The sequence below is a fragment of the Homo sapiens genome, chromosome 12, assembly GCF_000001405.40.
Source record: "Homo sapiens chromosome 12, GRCh38.p14 Primary Assembly".
Taxonomy (NCBI): domain Eukaryota; kingdom Metazoa; phylum Chordata; class Mammalia; order Primates; family Hominidae; genus Homo; species Homo sapiens.
In genome coordinates, this window is record NC_000012.12 from 79,293,505 (window position 1) to 79,317,647 (window position 24,143).

The 24,143-nt window shown below is 36.2% G+C and overlaps 1 protein-coding gene and 1 pseudogene across 16 annotated transcripts in view; both read left to right on the top strand.

Moving 5' to 3' along the window:
* The window catches only part of SYT1 (synaptotagmin 1), a 588,027-nt gene that overhangs the window by 429,523 nt on the left and 134,361 nt on the right, over positions 1–24,143 (top strand). For all 16 annotated transcript variants that reach the window (NM_001135805.2, NM_001415940.1, NM_001415943.1 and 13 more), the window contains 2 exons: positions 2,565–2,732; positions 5,880–6,047. In NM_001135805.2, the coding sequence (NP_001129277.1) occupies positions 2,565–2,732; positions 5,880–6,047 (336 nt within the window). The remainder of the gene's footprint in view (positions 1–2,564; positions 2,733–5,879; positions 6,048–24,143) is intronic.
* On the top strand, positions 14,059–15,563 carry LOC100420794 (RE1 silencing transcription factor pseudogene; annotated as a pseudogene).

Below are 24,143 nucleotides of genomic sequence, written 5' to 3' on the forward strand. Positions count from 1 at the left end.
GATGAATGTAAAATAAATACAGTTACTAGTAATGCAGCATGTGCTAATGATTTCCAGTTTGATGAGAAATGAACAATAAATAAATGAAACACTAATGCTCATCTTTGATAACTAACATCCAAAGTCAGTAATGCTGTGAGAGCTCTAAGCAGTTGCAGAAATTCTGTGCTTTATTTAGGAATTGACAGTTCTAATAATGTCTTCACTTTCTAAAGTTTCCAGAGGGTTCCTCATGAAGGATGTACAAATATACTGTCATATTAAAAATAATTTTTTGATCAGCTTCATTATAGCCCTGGCTAGTTATTACATAATACATTCTAGAAAACTACATTATTGGTTTACAGGTTCAGGTTTGTAGTTATACCATTTTTAGTTAATTACATCTGATATTTGTGGTCATTTCTATCACTTCTATGAAAATTTGAGCATCAGGATTTGGTTAGGAGCAAAACCTCTTATTTATATATTCTAGGAAAGATCAAGGACAACTTATATTGGTCTTAATATATAACATATTTTCCAAAAATTTAATCTGGCTTTCTATATGCATCCAGTATTTTTTTCATCATATTGACCATTCATATTTTCCAGTGGAAATCTAGTGGTGTCTCATTCTGATTAGTCATAATTTTGAAGCTTTCAAGTTAGCTTTAATTATTAATACTATAAGTATCATTTTATAAAGTAGTATTTTTAAGAAAATAAATAATAACACTGAGAATTTTTTTACTAAAATATAGTGAGAGTACATTTACTGTTCCCTTTTCAGCAAACATCAAATCTAAAAAGTTATTTCATTCTGAGAAACTGATGAATTTTTAAAATATTACACATTGGTTTTTCCCAAATGTTCTCAGTTAATTTGATTTATAAAGTGATTCCTAAGAAGCAGGAAGTTAAAGTCTGAAAAACTTCATAAAGTTTGGATCAAATATATGTTTACCAAAACTAAAAGACAACCCTAAAATATTCTAATTAAGACGCTTTCATGGTACAGAGAAATGTGATATTTATCTCTTAGGCAGAAGTCAGAACAAGGTTGTAAAAAGTAACCTCATTCTTTATTAACAAAATATCCAAAAACTCTAAATTATAAATCATCTAGTTTCTAAAGAGTTTAAGCCATCTCTCTAGCATTTTTTCTGCTCAAAAGAAAATTGGTTATAAAAAGTGAGGATGAGGAAGTAGAATCTTACTTATTCGCATTACTACATAAAGGTAAATACCAAATACCTACTTAGCAAACAAAGAGACAGACTGTTTCCTTTACTAATCATGTCTTTATAATCCGATGCCTATTTTAGCTGTTTTTTGACCATCTGTCTGTGTTTTGTTTACCTACAATCTAGCACTCTTATTGCCACTGTTGTATCATGATTCCACAAAAAAAAAAAAAGATATTGAAGCATTAAAATAGAAACAACATAATCATTCAGGTTATTGGGCCATGTTAAAAGTTGAGCCACCTAGCCAAAATGCACTTAAGTACACGGTGGGTCACAATTAAAATGGTTATGCATTTTTTTTAAGAGGGGGAATTGCTTTTTTACTCTACTAGCTAAAAAGGCATGAACTCAGATTTTTCAGGCTGAGATGTAAAAACCTATGGTGTTACTGCATTTACAAAATAGCATATACCTTGAATAACAGTAAGAGTCTGCTTTGTTACCTATATGGATCTAAATCAGTCTGTTGACACAAAATCTCTAATGGCAGAGTATCTATGATAGTCTACTCACACCTCTTTTTTTCTTCGCAAAAATATTAACCATACCATAATACCTTAATATTCATAATGAGGCTTAAGAATGCATCAGTAAGAAAACAGACTTAAAGAAATGTAATAGTTCTGTGGTGTTTGGAAAAAATAAAAAACACAGTTACTCACCATTAAAAAACCTCACCTCTAATCTCCCTTGCTTTCTATGAAGCTGAAATTACATTTCTTTTACTCCGTGTCCTATATTTAAACACAGAATCTCATAGATAATAATCATTCTACTGTAAGTTAAAATAAATGTAGTCTGCACACCAGTGAAGGTCAAATATAATAGAAACTAGAAGATCTTATTTTTTATCTCAAAATGCTACCCAATTTCTAAGAAATTTCTACTCAGCTAGCCTGAGGCTTTGATAAAGAATAAAAGTTTCCCACTTTGTAATTACAAACTTGTGATTGCTTAACAATGCATTTTCACTTACAAATCATGCTCTGGAAAGAAAAACAATGCACAAGAGCTTTTAGCAACTGGAAAGTTATTTGATTACAACTCTTTTGCAAAAATGAACTCCATATTTAACTGCAATCAGCAACCTTTTAAAAGCCTCTTTTGTGCTTAAAACCAGGCTTCCCAGAGCCTGCATCAGTCATAATTGGGTTTCTGAAGTCTACATAGCTCAGTTCATTTGCCTTCTGTGTTCAGATTCATAAGAGAATCAGAGTTTTATTAAAAATAAATAGGAAGAGGGAGAAATCCCAATATGCAGCATTGTGAACAAATCGATCTTTTCCAAAATGTCCACTGATATTTATGTATGCTGTATTCTGTCATTTATTTCAGCTGCTGGTAGGGATCATTCAGGCTGCCGAACTGCCCGCCTTGGACATGGGGGGCACATCTGATCCTTACGTGAAAGTGTTTCTGCTACCTGATAAGAAGAAGAAATTTGAGACAAAAGTCCACCGAAAAACCCTTAATCCTGTCTTCAATGAGCAATTTACTTTCAAGGTATTTGTTAACATTTATTTATAACCTTTCCTTTGTTGTTTTACTTAAAAGACTGATCTCATCCTGACACATACATAGACATGCACATGAATGCTTGTTCAGGCACTCACAATAATTCCAGTCAGAATATGCAAAATTCTTATCTTCACTACAGTCAACATTCGATATTGCCTTTCAGCGTGTTCAGAGTAGGATTCGGTTCAGTCATTTCAGAATGGAATGGACTAGAACATGACTAGGATGTCATAGTCACATCTAAAAAGTGAGATCCCTCCCTGAAATAAAGCCAAAGGAATGAAATCATTATTTTTCTGAATTTCAAAGTTTGTGAAAATAAGTACATCTGTTACAATCCCAGGATTAAGTAAGCTGTGTCCCAATGCTTAAATGGTACAAATAGACATGACTCTTGTAACAAAATTGTGTGTGTAGAGGGCAATTTGAGCACTTCAAAGTCATTCTTCTTAACTAATCAATAAAAGGAATATGAACATATTTTTTATTGCATTTCTAGCCTTCTTCCTTTACTCTAGGTTCTGCCCTGATGTTCTTCATCTTGTTGAGGCACCTCAGTTGACAAACAACAGAGAGATTCCAGCCATATAATATCTCATCAGGAAAACATGTCCTGCAGGTCTCCAGGATCTTCGTGGATCTTGGCTTGAAATCATTCATTAAAAACAATTCTTTTGGTGGATATCTTTAACGTGCGAAAAAAACTTTTTAATGCATTACTTAGAACAATATGTTTCTGAAAAATGAAATATCTGTGAATATGCCAGCAGGCTAATTCAAAATCACCACGTCCATCAGCCAGGCTTAGCATATGCCTTGTGTTGGCAAACATTCTGGGATGAAATAAATTGAAAATGAGGGCATGAGTCATTTTCTCAAACCTTGTTTTCAATTATGTAAAGGGGAAGTGTCTTTCTATTCACTCTAAAATTTCTGAGTTTTCAAGACAAAGGTCCCTCATGTATTGTCAGTAATCTTATTTAAAATCTGGTTTTTCTGTACCTAAGCAGTGAATTTAAAGTAGCAGTAAAGACATTCTGGAAATACTCAGTTCATGAAGAGTATCTGCTCATGAAGCTTAATCACTATAGTCAACATACTACGAAACGTAAAATGGAAATAAAATTTTAAAAATATTGTAATAGTAATCACAGTTGTTTTATTCATCTATTTATTAACCTTAACTTAGGTCAGCAGTTTCTGACCAAAACTTAGTAAGGAAATTCTTAAATTATATGAGCTAATGTATTGGGGCTTTGTTTTGTATTGCATTACCTACATTATTATTTCTTTAAAAAATGCTAATAATTTTATTAGTAATTTCTATAAAACCAAGTATAATTATTGAAATTTTTGAATTCTCTATACATTTTTATCAAGTTTCATTTTATTTCAGAAAGGTTGATCAAACTATACATAAATCCAAAGTATAATATATTCTGCTATATTAAAAAATACTTCAATTTTTCTAGAGAACTGGTTAGACATTGTAGATTACTCATCTTGAAATGCCAAGAGGCAATATGATACAGGAATGGAAGTATAAAAGACTTTAAAGAAGCCTGGCTTTACAATGGATTTAAATCACTTAACAGGAACTCAACATGCCCCAAATTAATTCATCTTCTTTTCCCCCAAAACAGTTATCTGAAGGAGCTACTAATCATTCAAACAATAAATATTTTTAAGTGCTTCTTCTGTGCTAGGTGTTTTACATATATTCATTCATCCCTAAAATAGCCCCATGAAGCAGCCATTATTACAGTATTATCACAATTTAATAGATGAATAAACTTATGTTTAATCACGTGCCCCAGGCCCTTTAGTTGGAAAGTCCAAATCTGGTACAAGGTCTGTCTGACCCCAAGTCCAGGTTTTTGACTGTTGCTCTTTGAGTACAATCACTAGAAAGTCTAGAGAGATTTTAGATATACAATAACATTTTCAAGGGTTTATCCTTACTCTAAAAAATTTTGTTTCTTTCTTTGAGAGTCAGCTCTTTGGAAGGGTTTATTTTCCATTCCTTCTAAAATGGAAAAAGGATGATGCTTACTTTTTAATCATATCATTTTAATAAAATAATCAGGTTCCAAACAGATGGTAAATAAATGACAGAAAAGAAAAACTCTTTGGAAAACTAAAATTTCTTGTATGTAGATGGCCCAATATTCTTCCTTTTCTTCCCTCCTTAATATACAGAGTTAATTGAGAAATGTTTGCTGAAGCATAAGACAACCATTTACACTGATAAAATAATAGGAAGTGTATGAAAATTGATCAAACCTTTAAGACAAGTCTAAACAATTTCTTAATTAGGTATTTCTACCCAGTTACTGAAGTGTAGCTTACTTGGATTGCACTGCTTTCACTGAATATTAAAAATGTCACTAATAAACATCCCAACCCATAGCATCTGTCCCAGATATATTTGAACAGCTGGAGAATTCATCAGTTCTTGGCCTTTTGCCACCACTCATCCTAAGGCATGTCATACCCAAGAATGAACTTCAAAACCCATATTATAATGCACCTCTTATATTCAAAACATCAATTTCCTAGTCAGTTCTTGTCAATCAGCAAATTATTTTAGGGAGTAGGTGAGGCACTTGTGAATATCATTTCAATCCTTTCAGACTCCTAGCATAGCCTTTAATAAATCATTGCTCCATTGAACTGTGGCATTTAAATGCCTTGAAAGAGTTAATGGAGCATTTGAAATAAGTTATTTGCCCCTCAGTAAGTTACACCCTGACAATACAACTTAAAACAACAATAACAACAAAATATTCTACAAGAAAAACTTACTTATAGTCAAATGCAATTGGCTTGTTTATTGTTTTATTAATCTTAAGGCTTTATAGTATAACTAACAGCAGGATCCATTATTAATAATGCTAACAGCTTCTAGAACTTTGAGATAAGGCAATAAATCACTAAAATTTCCCATTTTCTCTCAAGTAATTTTAGCCTCAAGCAGTTTGTCAAAAGTCTGAATTTAAAAAATAACCAAAAACAAAATTATCTCCCTGTTCTGTTTATGCAACGTAAATATTAAATTAAGCACCATGAACAAGTAACATGTTTTAAGCATTTTTGTGACTGGATATTTTATCCTCATGTCTTTTAATTTAGGTACCATACTCGGAATTGGGTGGCAAAACCCTAGTGATGGCTGTATATGATTTTGATCGTTTCTCTAAGCATGACATCATTGGAGAATTTAAAGTCCCTATGAACACAGTGGATTTTGGCCATGTAACTGAGGAATGGCGTGACCTGCAAAGTGCTGAGAAGGAAGAGGTAAGGGAATTACTAGCATTTCTAACATCACAAGCTGTACTCGCCAGTTGCTGCTCATATAATAACTTATTGAGAAATACTCTTTACAAAGGGGGATGTGGGCCTCTAGTTGTTGACAGCTGATAAAATAGGGTCAAGGGCACTGCACCACCTCGTTAAAAAGTGTACAGGTCTTCTGGGTGTTATCTGAAAGAAGAGAGACATTTGTGTACTGGATCTAGAAACAGCAACCCTGGACACAAACAAACACACATGCCCACAGGAACTCTTTCTAAAAGCTTACAAAAGGCCACACACACTCATAAACTACTGCTTTAAAATGACAACGAAAAATTATTTTATTTCTCATTTTTCCACAATCATTTTGTGTTTTCTGCATAGGTTATGTAGCTATTACACAGAAATAAAATGGTACTTTTTCCTTGATTGTTTCTGCATATCACAGACAGTTCATTGTTTCTCCTAAAGATACGAGAGCATGATTGGTCAAACATCAAATATAATTCACAAAGCCTGATATTAAATCCATTTTTTAAATGACTCACATTTTTATGCTACTCCTCACATTGTTTATTCCCAGTTTTAATAGTTTAGCCCAGTATTTTTCCATGACTTGAAAAGGGAAGTTCAATATGTTTAGTGCATTTAAGCTTCATAATAATCAATTGTATCTGATTATGCGATGCCTGCCTGGCACCAGCATTTTTCTCTGCAAACATTTCAGTAGACCAATACTAGAAAAGCAAACAACCCTTAGCTTCTCCAAATTCCTAAAACAACTCCTTTCGCAGTCACTCTTTAGTTCCTGACGTAAGGCTGTAATTACGCAAGAGATTGCTGACAGCTCAGTCATTTAGGATCTCCAGGTCCCTAGGATTCCCTGGCCTCTTGGGGTCACCAGGGAGATCAGAGAGAACGTCAGGCCTTCAGAGAAACTCAATCAAGTCCATCACCTGGGAATCCTCTCAGCCTAAGGTTTTCTGTGACCAATCTGAGGCTATGAACTTTATACCCCCTATATGATGAAATGAGGTTTTAGAACAGGCCTATTAATTCCCATGCTGAAATTGAACTTTTCACTCTAACATTGCTGTTTGCTATTTGATTTTACAAAATGAGTCAAAAATACTTAAGTTAAACTCTGCTCTTTTTTTTGGAAAAAAGTATGTATACTTATACTTTCCAAAAAAGAGAGCAGAGCTTAAGTATTTTTGTATATAATATTCATGTATACTTATTATATATATATATATATATATATATATATATATATTTACTGTCTCAATATCTAAGAATGTTGACTAACCTTTCTTAGACATTGACACAGATTTAGCCCTACTGTGGATATTCAAGAATACCCAGGAAAAATACCGAGTTTTAAAATTATATGATTTTATGGATAGTTCTTTCCTATAAGTGAACTAATAGTAATGTTACAGACATCTTCATGAAAAAAAAAATTCGATCATTCAGTTACAATGTTTATAATTATTTAACAAAGTAGTGGGATGTTTCATTGACTTTTTTGTTGAAGTGTTTGACTTTGTGTAAATTTTTTGGGTGATAAAGTAGGACCATAAGAAATGTTTATTAACTGATTGGTTTTATTAATTGACTGGTGTTTGGTTGGCTTGTTGGTTGAATATGAGAACATGAACCACTGGTACTTCACAATGCCCACTTGTGCAGGGTGCATGGTTCACACTTGTTACTTTCACCTGGATAATTATCAGGTGGTAATGACATCCAAGATCACACCCAGTGGGTTTCTGAAAAATTGTGCAATGTTTTTTTCTGAGCTAAGGGAATGTGGACCATTGAGCAAGTTTCCTCTTTCAGAAATCTTTGAGTACGAGCAGAGTTTGAAACTTAACACCAGGCTGACGGGTTTCACTCTAGAATCTAGGGGTTTAGGTAAACTGCCCATTCAGAATTTTAACCTAGAAAGTGGCCTAACATGATTTACCCCTTATCTTACTTACCGATGAAATAGAATAGAACATGAAGTACCCAGCATAGAGTCTGGCATATGGTAAATGTTCACTAAGTGAGAGGTCTCTCATACCTTTTTCTTGGTTAATTTTGTGTGTGTGTTCTCTTTCCCCATTTTGTGTGTTCATCTCCTCATTTGTTGTGTCTCTTCCCTCTATTTTTATCTACTTCGCTATCCTTTTTCTCACCATTGCACTTACTGAGTATCTGTAGGAGTTATTAATGGGAAATATTAATTTTATCATTACACTCGTAAAACTCTAGAGACTTTCCTCTTTGATTTCTACTCAGGAATAGAAATTTTTGGTTTTCAGTTAGACTATTTCTCTTTATCAAGGTATAGGTTATAAAAAACTGTATAAGACAGATGTCTAGCTTACAAAGTATCTCTGGATGACTAGACCCAGTTAGAAACTTTTTCATTATAAAGGAAGTAAGATTCCACTTGCATTTTATATCTGAAGAATTACATATTCTCAATGATATCTGCTCTAACTTTTCATGCCACTGTCCATTAATTGTAGAAAATTATAATTGTGTGAATAAATTGAAGTCTTAGATTGACTTTAGTTTTATGATTTTAAAGAAATTGTTTTTCCACTTTACATGAGCAATTTTGTTCATGATTTTAGTTTTGCTTTCATCTAGCAGTGTTAAGCATTATTTTTAATGTCATAATGAGATGAAAGATATCAAAGAAAGTGAGAAAAAGGAGTTCAAGGAACAGCTTTGGAATCTAGAACAAGTACTGCTAATCATAGTAAGCTGTTCTGCCGGAGACTTGGATTTAAAGAGGTTAAATCAAACCCACTGACAGCCAACTCTGTGATGTTAATTAAATGGAGTAAGGTTTTATTGCCAGAAAGTTGACAACTATAAGTCATAAGATGATGAAGTAATTGTGTAACTTAAAGGATTATGTACTATTTTAGCGACCAAATAATGTGCAAGCAATTTAGAAAGAAATGGGAAGGAACATGGATAGTGTAAGAGCCTCATTTGGAAGTGACTAGGCCCATGTTTAAAAGGAAGTGATGTGGAAGAGATAAGGTGTACCAGGAAGAGCCACAACAAAAGCACATTGTTCCCACTATTCGATTCTATCCCCAGGTGGAAACATCACTGGTGAGGTTTCCATTTGGCTTGATCGTGTTCCGCAAATTTACACAATCAAAGCCACCTCACTGGTTTCCGTTCACTTGCCGGTTTGTTTTTTCAGTGATGCACGGTCGACTACTTTCTTCCTCCACTTCCCCACCTTCTAATAGATGAAGGTGGAATTTGACCTTGGAGACAGGTCAACATTTCTCTTGTTTTTGTTTCTTTAAAACAGAAATATGTATCCTCTGAGTTCCTAGAGATGGTTATATATAAAACTGTTGTTTCTTAATTTTTTTATTTCTCAGTATATGGCTTCAAAATCATCCTTGGTAATCAGTATATAATTCTTCAGTGTGCAAAAGGCTACCAATATGTATAGCCCCAAGCTGAATCTTTGAGATTTTCTTCTCTTTAATCTTTCAAAAAATAAGTATTTATTGTATACACAAGTCAAACCTGAAACCAATCTTTATCTTTTTAGAATAATCTATTTAATATTTTGACTTAATTATTTCAAACATTACAAGCAACAGCTATGACTCCATTTTTCCCTTCTTATAAATTTCACTTATGTGCAGTTTTAAAATTGTCTCAGTTCTGCACCCCAGGATCAGGTATATCATCAAAGTATTTAAACTCTTTTTATTTTAACATTTTGTTCCTATTTATAAAGTTTATTTTTATCTCCATGCCTTCTACTGATATTTGTTATCTCTAAAAACAGCATAAGGAATAGATAGCACCAGAAAAAAAAACTAAGCCTTTTTTTTTAACATTCCGCCCTGATATGCTGCAAGCTCTCATGACTTGAGCAGTACTGTTTTATTGTTTTGTTTCCATTAGAGAATAAGTCTATCACCTCGGCTTTGTGTAAAATTTGGTAAAGAGTGATTTTTAAATGAGATTCTGTAATCTAGTGCAAATGGAAAAAAATTGATTGCAGAATTAAAACAAGTTGGAACATAATTTAATTAGTATCCAAGCAGAAGGGAAGAGAAACTACTTTAATGCTTTAATGGAAAATCAATTTTGCAAGAAAATTTCACATTTTTAAGCCTAATTAGAAAAAGATTTACTTCACAGAAAAGCATGTGAAGAATACATATTCAATCAAATGGCAACAGTTTTTTAACTTCCAATGGTCAATTCCTTAGTACTTCCTTGGAATGAGTTAAAGTCATTATTCCTTATGGCATCTTTTATGCCCAAGGATCATGAAAGAAGTGATGCTATTTCTAAGTACATTTAGCAATCAGACGGCAACTATGCTCTCCAAGAATCTCCACCCAACGATCAATGCCCTGATTGGAAATCCTTATAAAAGGTTAATTGTTGGAATTTTAAACATGGATGCCAATAAGAACCTTCCTGGTCATTCATTCACAACCTATCACATTTGAGAAATACAACAAAAACATTAATTTGCATCCATAGCATTTCAGGAATTATACTTGTTTTTCTTTACTTGTTCATTGTCTATCTTCCTCACTGGACTGAAACTCCATCCAGGCAGCAACCATGTCTATGGTTCCTCACCAAGTGTAATCACAGAGGCAAGAACACAATAGGCGTGAAAAACTATTTTTGAATGAATGAATGGAGATGTTTATTGTATTGTAAGAAATGTGTCCAAACGCCCTTTTTAAAGTCCGTGTTAATAGTCATTGTGTTCATATTTTACAAATGAAGGTTAAAGTATTCTGAAAGCTAATCAGCAAAATGTCCTAGCTCTGAATGCTGAAGATAGTTTAGTGCCTTTCTGGGTTTTTTTGGTATGTTTCTTTAAAGATAGAGGCAGTACAGATGCTTAGCAAAATCAACCTTGTTATTGTTTTTGTTTTTGGTTTTGAAAATGATAATAGATTTTGTCTCAACAACTTTTGTTTGTTTGTTAAAGGCTTATTTAGTGTCTCCCTCTTTGTAACCCTCTTTTTCATCCTGTTTCCATAATGCACATGGAGCTCATAGATTACCTTAATTTTTATTTAAATGTAAGACTGAAAGCTATGGTGTAAGTCTCTGCCTACATCATGGAAATTGATCCAGAGGAAAATGGGAAAGAATTAGTTCTAGGGAGAACTCAAAGAGTAGGAATAAAATCTAAGTTTATCATGCCTAGAATATTTGTTGTTAATCAATTTTATAATATAGTAGATATAGTTTAGTAGTATTGAATTATTTTATAGTATATTAAAACTATAATATATATTAGTGTACCTAGTATCTCTGCGTCCATATCATGGGACTTGGAACATATTGATTTCCCTTTAAACTGCTACAGAAGTATAGATGTGTTTTATTTTTTACAGTATCTTGGGTCATAGCTGTGGTTTATTTGAGTTTGAGTCTTTGGTTAGAATTTCTGTCACCAATTATAATTGTATTCTTATGTATAATAAATGTTATCCACTTCGTGATGTGGTTTCCAAGAACATGATAGGAAAAAGCAAATAACTTGAAATATCTCTCTAGTATGTAGGACTGTAATTTGCTTGCCTTTCTGGTTAAAAAGACTTTTCAGGCAGAGGTAAAAGAAATCCAAATTCTCACTTTAGAGTTTCTAAACAAAAATCCAATATTTTTTATTTTAAATTCCCTAGAAAAGTAATATAAATTAGACTCTAATTTGAAGCAAGAATTAAAGCAAGGAGAGATCCTGGACATTTTCAAAATGCACTTTGGCTACCTTCCATTGTTCTCCCTCACGTTGTCATACTTTAGCCTACTGCACCTGCCTTCCTTGTCACAGTGATAACCACCCAAAGGTCTGGTCTCACAGCCTGGCTCTCTAGCTTCCAAAGTTCATCTTCATTAAAGCTTATATTAACTTCTCTACCTATCCTATAAACACAAATAATAGCTATCATTTACTGAGAGTCTACTATATGCTGACAAAAAAAAAAATCTCATAACATTCTTCAAAATTGGCATTACCAAATCTGTTTTACAAAACAGGGAAGGAAGGGAACTGAGACCCAGGAAAGTTTAAGTAATGTGTCCAAGTTTACACGGGCAATGCCATAACTACAATTCAAACACAGGTCTAAAAGCCTACACTTGCCATTTTTTGAGATTGAGTCTCACTCTATCGCCCAGGCTAGAGTGCAGTGGTGTGATCTCAGCTCACTGCAACCCCCCGCCTCCCGGGTTCAAGCGATTCTCCTGCCTCAGCCGCCCAAGTAGCTGGGATTACAGGTGCCTGCCACCATGCCCAGCTATTTTTTGTATTTTTAGTAGAAATGAGGTTTCACCATGTTGGCCAGCCTGGTCTCGAACTCATGACCTCAAGTGACCCACCCACCTCGGCCTCCCAAAGTGCTGGGATTACACGTGTGAGCCACTGCACCTGGCCCACACCATTTTCTTTAAAGAGTCTCTCTTGGTCTTTTCAGGTCTGTCTGGCTCCCAAACCCATTTTCTCTCTACACTGCCATATTGCCACTAAGAGAGTGCAAGGATATTGTCTGTTTTGTTTATCTACTTAGGCCCAGCACATTGCACTGTGACTGCAACATCCAAAGTGCTTAAATAAATATTTTCAAGTAGATTGGTTGAACAAATTAGAATTTAACAAATATGCATTCTAATGTTCTATCACCTTTGAGAGAGTCATCTTTAAAAGATACCCAGTCATTCCAGTTGCACTGTAGTATCCTAAAATATTTTTGAATTCCAGTCCCTCTCTCCAAGTATCTTTCTCAATGTATAATACATTATCTGTTCTCAATAATGATTTGTCTTTGCTTTGAAAAGGTAAATCTCATTGAAATGGCCATAACTATGTAGGGTCAAGTATAGGCTATTAGTTGATGATCGAATTGGGTAAAACAGTTGTAATTACTGTGGGAAAGTGATGAGATGGATGTTCTTGTGAGTTTTATATTCTGATTCTGTCCTAAATGCTTTGAGCATTAACATCATTACATGGTCTCTCAAATGGTTTGCTATGGGGAAAATTCTCATTAGGAGATATAAATTCTGATACACATAGTACCAAGAAAATATAATTGTTTTAATAGAAATCAATGTAAGTATTAGGTTTTCTTTTTATCCAAAGAATAAAAGGACCGAGAGTTTTCAGCTGAATTTTAAATAAAGCAGAGCAAAGTGGATTTGGGAGCCTGGATTTCATGTGTATAAGCTGGCAGAGCAGAAAGTGAGGAGTGGGAGTTGAAATGGGAACAAATATAAAACAAAAGGAGAATGAGAATAATGATGTAGACAAGAGCAGCCTTGTTTACATCTGGTTTTTCATATTACTGAAATAATGAAAAGGGTTTTGAGTGGGAAGCAATGTGAGCAACACAGGAGAATGTTTTGTTCTGTCTTCCACAGATTTAAACCTATTCAAATGTAATCTTTTCTCTTGAGTTCATCATATGCTTGGGAGCAATATTTTTTATCTTGTTTGTGAATCTTAAAATTAGATGTTTTTACCTTCTGTCTTACTCCTACCTACCTTTGAGCAGGCCAAATGTTTGTGCTGTAAAATCTTTAATCCATTACAATCTGTTACTCTGCAATTAGATGAAATGTCAGTGATTGACTTGTACTAGTTGTACTACAGAATAAGGGAGGAGAATGAGGACTCGCTGAAAAACAAGAGCTTAAATAATTAAAGAATGCGAGAGAGAGGAAGCATACACAGACACACAAACTTACTTGCTTTAAACATGATTAAATTCTTGCCAATTATGAACAAGAACTTTTAAATACTGTAAATTAATTTTATTTATTCATTCTTTCACTGATTTCATCATATATTAAACCTCTTTTATAAGCCAGGTATTGTGCTAACTTCAGGGAATACAGTGGTGAATAAGATAGACCCCCACGTTCGGCCACCTGACCTTCCGAGCTGGCGGGGCTGAGGCTGGAGTCCTCCCAGGAGCCACAGGGGAATGAAATTTGCAGACTTCCGGGGCGCCTGGCCCTGGGCGTTGGGCGAGCCCGGGGATGGTCGGAAGGGCTGGGGGTGGGGGTGGGGGGGCGTGGGGGGGGGCGGCAGGAGGAGCCCGAACGAAGCCTTTGCGATTACAGTCATGGCCACCCAGATGGGGCAGTCTTCTGGAGGAGAAGGGCTGTTTACCGGCAATGGCAACATTGGAATGGCCTTGCCTAACGGCATGTATGACTTGCATGATCTCTCTAAAGCTGAACTGGCCTCACCTCATCCTGTCTTGCTGGCAAATGCGGCCTTCAGTGGGAAAGTAAATGGCAGCTGCTGTGATTACCTGGTCGGTGAAGAAAGACAGATGGCAAAATTGATGCCTGTTGGGGATGACAGCTTTTCAGATAGTGAAGAAGGAGAAGGCCTCGAAGAGTGCTGAAATGAAAGGTGAACCTCATGGGCTGAGACGTTTGGAACTCAGCGTTGTAGAACTTCAGCCTGCATTTGAAGCATCAGCTGCTCCAGAGATTTACAGCTCAAATAAAGATCTTCCTCCTGAAACACCTGGAACAGAGGACAGAGGCAAGAACTCGAAGACCAAATCCTTTCGCTGTAAGTCATGCCAATATGAAGCAGAATCTGAAGAACAGTTTGTGCATCACATCAGAGTGCACAGTGCCAAGAAATTTTTTGTGGAAGTGCGGAGAGGCAGGCCGCGGTGGCTCACGCCTGTAATCCCAGCACTTTGGGAGGCCGAGACGGGAGAATCACCTGAGGTCAGGAGTTCGAGACCAGCCTGACCAACATGGAGAAACCCTGTCTCCATTAAAAATACAAAATTAGCCCGGTGTTGTGGCGCATGCCTGTAATCCCAGCTACTCGGGAGGCTGAAGCCAGGAGGCGGAGCTTGCATGCGGTGAGCCGAGATCATGCCATTGCACTGCAGCCTATACAACAAGAGCGAAACTCCGTCAAAAGAAAGAAAGAAAGAAGAAATAAAGAAAGAAAGAAAGAAAAAAGAAAGAAAGGAAAAGAAAGAAAAGAAGGAAAAGAAAGAAGAAAGAAAGAAAGAAAGAAAAAGAAAGAAAGAAAGAAAGAAAGAAAGAAAGAAAGAAAGAAAGAAAAGAGAAGGAAGCAATAGACAAGGAATCTGGCTCTTCCACTGCAGAAGAGGGAGATTTCTCCAAGGTCTGTATTCGCTGTGACCACTGTGGCTACAATACCAATCGATATGGTCCCTATACTGCACACCTGAAACACCACACCAGAGCTGGGGATAATGAGCGAGTCTACAAGTGTATCATCTGCACATACACAACAGTAAACGATATTTGGAAACTGTAAGCCTGGAATTAGGAGACATAACTATTCCTTCAAGTTTTATAGAATATCACTTGGGAGATTCCAAAACCATAGCTATTACATGGCAAACCTAGGATAAGAGCAGTAGTATGAGTGCTGGCAGACCAGCTGCCACTTTCCTATACAGTGAAAAAGGCCGGTGAAACAAGTACAGGCCAGATTTTTAAAAATCATACTTTCTCAAGGATCTCCACAAACTGGAGGGTGTCCTGGCTGTCTGTGTGATAGCCTCTTTCTACAAGTGAGGCCTCAAATGAACTGCAGCTATCCTGGTGTTCCTGTGGGGGCACTTTGTATGAAAAAAGGGCATGTACTCCAAAACATTTTTGTAGGTTCTTTGGCCAGGCGCCAAACAGTACGAAAGAGTCCAATGTAGGATTTTTCTTACTGATAGCAGTTATTCATTGCAGTGAAATAAAATATGATCCCAGTAGGGAATCTTGAATTCTGACCTCCCATGTTCTATTTTGAAATAACCACTTTATGTTTCTTTTTTTTTTTTTATCTGATGATCTCTTTGAGGCCAGCTTCAGATTTTGGTGGTACAACATGAAAGATTAGGAAAAGCATTAATAATCTGTGGGTGGAAAACTTATTAGAAATCTGAGAGTAAAGTTTGAGTTAAAAGTTGTTTGAACATGGAATTGACTGGGAGGCCAAAGATTTTTAAAAGCAGAAGATTCTTAAGACCTGAGGAATAAGTTATGTGATAATGGTGTGTGTTTTGTGTGCATGAATGGAAATTGTAAATGTTGAATTCTAGGCTCCGATAATCACTGTCAACAGAAGATCAAGCTGCAAATATTTATGCTTTAAAACTTAAATTATAAAGCTAGTTAAATCTTTCTAACAACTAGTTTTAATGTTCATGGGTACATTTTACCTAAGGTACTGTTAACATTGTATAGAGAAAGATTCATCTTAAGCACAGATTGGCTATCAGGAATTAGTTTGGGGATGGGGTTGTTTGTTTTTTTCTTGTAAATTTGTTTGAGTTCATTGTAGATTCTGGATATTAGCCCTTTGTCAGATGAGTAGGTTGCGAAAATTTTCTCCCATTTTGTAGGTTGCCTGTTCACTCTGATGGTAGTTTCTTTTGCTGTGCAGAAGCTCTTCAGTTTAATTACATCCCATTTGTCAATTTTGGCTTTTGTTGCCATTGCTTTTGGTGTTTTAGACATGAAGTCCTTGCCCATGCCTATGTACTGAATGGTAATGCCTAGGTTTTCTTCTAGGGTTTTTATGGTTTTAGGTCTAACGTTTAAGTCTTTAATCCATCTTGAATTAATTTTTGTATAAGGTGTAAGGAAGGGATCCAGTTTCAGCTTTCTACATATGGCTAGCCAGTTTTCCCAGCACCATTTATTAAATAGGGAATCCTTTCCCAATTGCTTCTTTTTCTGAGGTTTGTCAAAGATCAGATAGTTGTAGATATGTGGCGTTATTTCTGAGGGCTCTGTTCTGTTCCATTGATCTATATCTCTGTTTTGGTACCAGTACCATGCTGTTTTGGTTACTGTAGCCTTGTAGTATAGTTTGAAGTCAGGTAGTGTGATTCCTCCAGCTTTGTTCTTTTGGCTTAGGATTGACTTGGCAATGCAGGCTCTTTTGGTTCCATATGAACTTTAAAGTAGTTTTTTCCAATTCTGTGAAGAAAGTCATTGGTAGCTTGATGGGAATGGCATTGAATCTATAAATTACCTTGGGCAGTATGGCCATTTTCATGATATTGATTCTTCCTACCCGTGAGCATGGAATGTTCTTCCATTTGTTTGTATCCTCTTTTATTTCATTGAGCAGTGGTTTGTAGTTCTCCTTGAAGAGGTCCTTCACGTCCCTCGTAAGTTGGATTCCTAGGTATTTTATTCTCTTTGAAGCAATTGTGAATGGGAGTTCACTCATAATTTGGCTCTCTGTTTGTCTGTTATTGGTGTATAAGAATGCTTGTGATTTTTGTACATTGATTTTGTATCCTGAGACTTTGCTGAAGTTGCTTATCAGCTGAAGGAGATTTTGGGCTGAGACAATGGGGTTTTCTAGATATACAATCATGTCATCTGCAAACAGGGACAATTTGACTTCCTCTTTTCCTAATTGAATACGCTTTATTTCCTTCTCCTGCCTAATGGCCCTGGCCAGACTTCCAACAGTATATTGAATAGGAGTGGTGAGAGAGGGCATCCCTGTCTTGTGCCAGTTTTCAAAGGGAATGCTTCCAGTTTTTGCCCATTCAGTATGATATTGGCTGTGGGTTTGTCATAGATAGCTCTTATTATTTTGAGATACGTCCCCATCAAAAAGTGGGCAAAGGACATGAACAGACACTTCTCAAAAGAAGACATTTATGCAGCCAAAAAACACATGAAAAAATGCTCACCATCACTGGCCATCAGAGAAATGCAAATCAAAACTGCAATGAGATACCATCTCACACCAGTTAGAATGGCAATCATTAAAAAGTCAGGAAACAACAGGTGCTGGAGAGGATGTGGAGAAATAGGAACACTTTTACACTGTTGGTGGGACTGTAAACTAGTTCAACCATTGTGGAAGTCAGTGTGGCGATTCCTCAGGGATCTAGAACTAGAAATACCATTTGACCCAGCCATCCCATTACTGGGTATATACCCAAAGGACTATAAATCATGCTGCTATAAAGACACATGCACCCGTATGTTTATTGCGGCACTATTCACAATAGCAAAGACTTGGAACCAACCCAAATGTCCAACAATGATAGACTGGATTAAGAAAATGTGGCACATATACACCATGGAATACTATGCAGCCATAAAAAATGATGAGTTCATGTCCTTTGTAGGGACATGGATGAAATTGGAAATCATCATTCTCAGTAAACTATCGCAAGGACAAAAAAGCAAACACCGCATGTTCTCACTCATAGGTGGGAATTGAACAATGAGAACACATGGACACAGGAAGGGGAACATCACACTCTGGGGACTGTTGTGGGGTGGGGGGAGGGGGGAGGGATAGCATTAGGAGATATACCTAATGCTAAATGACGAGTTAATGGGTGCAGCACACCAGCATGGCACATGGATACATATGTAACTAACCTGCACATTGTGCACATGTACCCTAAAACTTAAAGTGTAATAATAATAAAATAAAAAATAAAATTAATTAATTAATTAATTTTTAAAAAGGAATTAGTTTGGGGAAAATGTTTTTTTGTGGATTCTTTCATACTGCAAAAGTAAAACCATTTGCCTTCTGGGGAATTGAGCTAAATTCTCATCTAGTCTAAGACTAAAATGCTAAAAACAAAAACATGAAGGAAATTAAAACCCCTTATTATTAAATCGATTTGTAAAAATGTTGTTACTGGAAATTTATTGGACTTGAGGCCTTCTTCCAGAAAATAAGGACTTGATTGTCAGGGCCTGTATTAGGTTCTGAACCTTAATGCCATGTATTCGTACTTATCAGAAATTATTTCAGTGAAAAGTACATTAGCAGTATGAACTTCTGATCCAGTTGGAAGTTCTTCCATTTGAAAAATGTGATATTTGCATGGAACTGTTTTCATCTTTTTCTTTTCTAGTCCCACTCCCCCACACTGGATAGAATTTAAGCTAGAATTTTCCCTTTTGATAAAAGAACAAAAAATGAACATGTTATTTGTAAGTTGATGTGTAGTATCTAGTGATAAACTTGAAACACTAGAATACATGACAAGCCTAATCTTAGGTAGTCTTATGAAAACGAATCTCTTACCTATCTTTTGAAACTATATTCACATTGATTTTTAAGATTTTTTAAGTTATATTTTTTCCTTTTTTCTTCAGAGCTGCTTCTTATTTTGGCACCACTTTTTTCTTTTATTGTGTAATTCACAAGGGGCTGCATTTTTTTTTTTTTTTTTTGATAAGGCTTGTAACTATGGCTGGATGTTTTGCTCTAGTCTTCTAAGAAAGGCCATTTTATTTTTCAGAGTCACTTATAAAGTCATGTGTAACTAACTTTGTAGACTGTTTTGCATATGACTGCTGCTACAAATTAAAACCCAAATAGACCTCATTGCATGTCACTCTATGAATGTTGACAATGAAAGGAATACCTTGCCTGTGGTATACTGTCACTTTTGGACTGAAAAGCTGAGGAAGAAACTTAATTTTCTTTTTTGCATAAGTCAGAAAAACTTACAGCTGGTGTTCCCAGTTTCCTGGTTGACTCCAGCAGATGAAATGAACAGATAGTGTTAATTCAGACTGAAGAAATTATCTGAATCTTGGCTTGTGTAGATTTACAATCTACATGCAATATTAACTAAATCAGATAGCTTTTACAGTTTCACATGTGTACATAGGTTCCCTCCCAGTCCCTTCCATACCCATTAGTTATTGAACTTTCTAATTCTATTGAAACATTACAACAGTGTTTTGTTGCACCAATTTTATAAACTTATGCCGTGCAATACGTGTTATTTTTCTGAGGCAGACCAAAGGTAAATTTCTCAAGGTTCTTGCTGCCTTCTTTAGCAGTATTTGAGGGAGGATCTTTTATACATTTGTAACAGATAAAAATGAAGCAGATTGCAAATCCTTTTTTAAAATCTTAAACCATGTACCAAGTTTTTGGTCCAAATTGTGTAGGATAAGTTAACCTTAAATTGCATTCTATTAACCAATAAGAGGGTATTTCCGTAAGCATAGTTATGTTGAAATACAGTTTTAAAAAGCAAAAAAAAAAAAAAACAAAATAAAAGATAGACCTGCTAAGCTTAGTCAATTAAAAATTAATGGTGAGACAGAACTACAGGGTAGATTAAAGCTCAGCCTATATGCATCACCATGACTCCGCTTACTACTGATGTCTCCTTCGGCTTGTTGCTTAATCCTTTCATAAAATGGGATTAGTATTTACTCACCTCCATGAGTTGTGACACACTCTAAATGAGATAATTAATGTAAAGCACTTAGAACAATACTTGGCACCAGAGAAGCTCTCAAAAAAATATTAGCGGGGCCGGGCGCGGTGGCTCACGCCTGTAATTCCAGCACTTTGGGAGGCCGAGGCGGGCGGATCACGAGGTCAGGAGATCGAGACCATCCTGGTTAACACGGTGAAACCCCGTCTCTACTAAAAATACAAAAAATTAGCCGGGCGTGGTAGCGGGCGCCTGTAGTCCCAGCTACTCGGGAGGCTGAGGCAGGAGAATGGCGTGAACCCGGGAGGCGGAGCTTGCAGTGAGCCGAGATCGCGCCACTGCACTCCAGCCTGGGCGACAGAGCGAGACTCCGTCTCAAAAAAAAAAAAAAAAAAAAAAAAATTAGCGGTTTTTGTTATTAAAAACATTGGTCAGAGCCCTTATTTCCTTGCCAGCCGAAAAGCATTGCTCTGATGACTAGATTTACATCCTTCCTTTTTTGAGGACAGTGGGACAGCCTAAGTGTTCAGAAGGCATTGTCATACATGGTTTTAATAAAAAAGTGGATATCTGAGCCTAGATACCATGTGCGAGAGTCTGTGGGATGTGAAAAGATTGCACAAAGACGAACCCAGTTTAAGGCTCAGCACGTGTGAGTGGAAGATAGTGCTACCATGGTGTGACCTCAGTGATTGTGCACCAATTAATTCCTCTAAGCTCTGACACCCCACAAAGGAACTCAAAGTTTCAGGCTCTGCTAAAATAAGACAGACAATAGCAAGTGTTGGCAAAGATGTGAAAAAATTGGAATTCTTATACGTTGCTAATGGAAGGTAAAATGATGTAGCCACTTTTGAAACCAGTTTGACAGTTCCTCAAAATGTTAAATAAAGTTGCCATGCTATCCAACAATTCTACTAAGTTCTACCCAAGAAAAATGGAAACTCATGTATACACACCAAAAAAAATGTACAACAACAGTAGTAGCATTTTTCATAACAGCCAAAAAAGTAGAAACAACCAAAATATTCATCAAGTGATGAATGGATAAGCAAAATGTGGTATATCCATACAATAGAAAATTACTTAGCTGTAAAAAGAAATAGTCTTGATACATGCTATAACACTCATGAGCCAAAATAGGCAAATCCACAGACAGACAGAAAGTAGATTCATGCCTAAGGGTAAGGTTAGGGTAGGAAATGGGGAATGACAGGTAATGGGTATGGGATTCTTTTGGAGTGATGAAAATCTTCTAGAATTAGATAGCAATGATGGTTACATAACCCAGTGAATATACTAAAATCCACCAAACTGTACACTTTAAATGGGTGAATTTTATGGTATGTGAATAAATACCATTTTTCTCAATAAGCTGTTTCTTATTTTTTATTTTCTTTATTATTTTTATATTAAATACAATTAAAAAAATTATTTGAGACAGGGTCTCTTTTTGTCACCCAGACCAGTGTACAGTGGCACAATCATAGCTCACTGCAGCTTCAAACTCCCAAACCCAAGCAATCCTTTCACCTCAGCCTCCTGAGTAGCTGGGACTGCAGGCTGGCACCACCATGCCCAGCTAATATTTTTTGTTTGTTTGTTTGTAGAGACTGGATCTTACTATGTTACTCAGTTTGGCCTCAAACTCCTGGCCTCAAACAATCCTCTCACCTAAGCCTCATAACCTGTGGATCACCACAGCCAGTCCTAAATCTGTTTTTAAAAAAAAGTTTCAGGGACAGAGATCCTAAACATCAAAGCATGATGCTCCAGGCTGACTGGGGTTCCATGTGAAACAGCCCTCAGGTGTGCTGGAAATGTCTTTCCTGGGGCTGTTTCAAAAGTTTTGGGATATTCGCTGAAAATATTCTAGTCTCTCTTTAAAGTAGAACACTTGTCTCCAAAATCACACTCCTTATTACCATTTCTATTGATATAAGGGCAGTACTAAGGTTCACTTTTTAGAGATGAGGAACCCAGGCCTAGGACATATGCTAGCCAATGAGAGCTCAAGATGTAAATGCCAGTTTTTCTGATTCCACAGCCATTTTCTAGTAGTCTACTCTCCCTTAAGACAAGAAGTTTATGCCTAATTCTCCTGATGTAAAAACAAAGTTTTAAACATGAGAACCAATCTTTTTGCAGCTTGTTTTCATACTGTAGCTTCTCAGAGATTCCCCCAAGTTGCTCTTTTCCAGACCTTTTTCCTACTAACATCGTGACTTTTTAAATTGAAATAAAATTGGCATGCAATAAAATGCACAGATGTTAAGTGTACAGTTCAATGAGTCTTGACAACGCTATACACAGTGTAACACCAATCAAGCTACAGAACATTTCTTATCCCCAAAGAAGTTCCTCATACCTCTTTCCAATGTGTCTTAGTGCAAGCTCCTAGAGGTAACTTCTGTTCTGATTTTTCTTACCACAGATTAGTTTGCCTGTTTTGAACTATATACCATGGAATCATGTTATTTTGTGTCTGGCTTCTTCAGCTCAAGATGATGTTTATGAGATTCTTCATACAGTAATATTTCACTCCTTTTTATTGCTAAGTGGTATTCTATTATGTGAATATATCAAGATTTATCCATTTTCCTATTGGTGGACTTTTGGGTTACTTCCAGTTTGAGATTGTTAGGAATAAAGCTGTTGTACAGCTTTCTGTGGACATATGCTTTCATTTCTCCTGAACTGCTGGTTCATAGGTAGGTGTATGTATCACACTTCTTTAAAGCTAAAATGACCAGGACCCCAGGTAATAGTCTATACAGGAATGTGTTGTGATACCTACTGTACAGGCTTCAGTCATGTTTTCTTTTCATTCTCACTAGCCTCCACGATGATGCTCAGTACCACCTTGATTCTTGACCTGGGCACTATGTTGTCTATCGTCCACCGTACAACTGGCACCTCATAACACACGTTTATTCTCTAAGTGTAGGTGCATACCCACACAATGCTGTTAGATAAAAAGATGCCTTGTTTACCTGTTTCGTTGTCTCGATAGGTAGAACATAAGCTTCTTATAAGTGAGGAAAGCATCTTAGCACTTTTGCACATCACAGTAATTAGCTCTTAGGAGAAAGTATGGCATGGATCAAATGAGCATAGAACTCGGAGTCCAAGTCACATCAACTCTCTGAGCCTCATTTCCACATATGTTAAATATTATTGAAAAAATGTAAAATAAATTATATACCTATGTGTTTGAAATTTAAAAGTTATTTTTCAAGCATAGGTCTGTCCAATGCCAAATGAATTCCTAAAATAAACAATCGGATACATCGAGTAGCTATTCACTTTCACTATTTTATGGGGGGAAAACAATCCATTGTTTACAGAACCGTTTAAAAAGTTTAGGAGTATTTTCACTCTCACTGCAGGGCTAGTGAACATCTCAGTATCTTTGTCACCACTTCCTTCCATCCTTCCCAGATTTCAAGTGCCCGAAGGCAAAGTAGAATGACCCCTAAGCTTTTTTCGAAAGCTGATGGAATAATTCCCTGTCAGCCTACTTTATGCAAAACAACTTCCGGCACTGGCTGTCACCCTGCCAACCATATCTCCACTCTTCTTACTTTTTGCTCTACTTTAAATGTCTCTCAAATCATTAATCATATGCAATTATTTTCCCCCTGGGACGGGCCACAGCAAGATTGTGAACAAGAGATGGCAAAGTACTCACTGGGGCGCCTTGCTCCTGGGCTTCAGGAGCTGGCAGACTTCTGGCTTGAAAAAGAGCAGGACATTGCACAGTGGGAGAACCCGGGGCACACAAACCCAGCTCAAGTCAAGCTATCTACTCACAACTTTAAAATGCTTATAGGGCACTGTTGTCAGAGGTGACTGT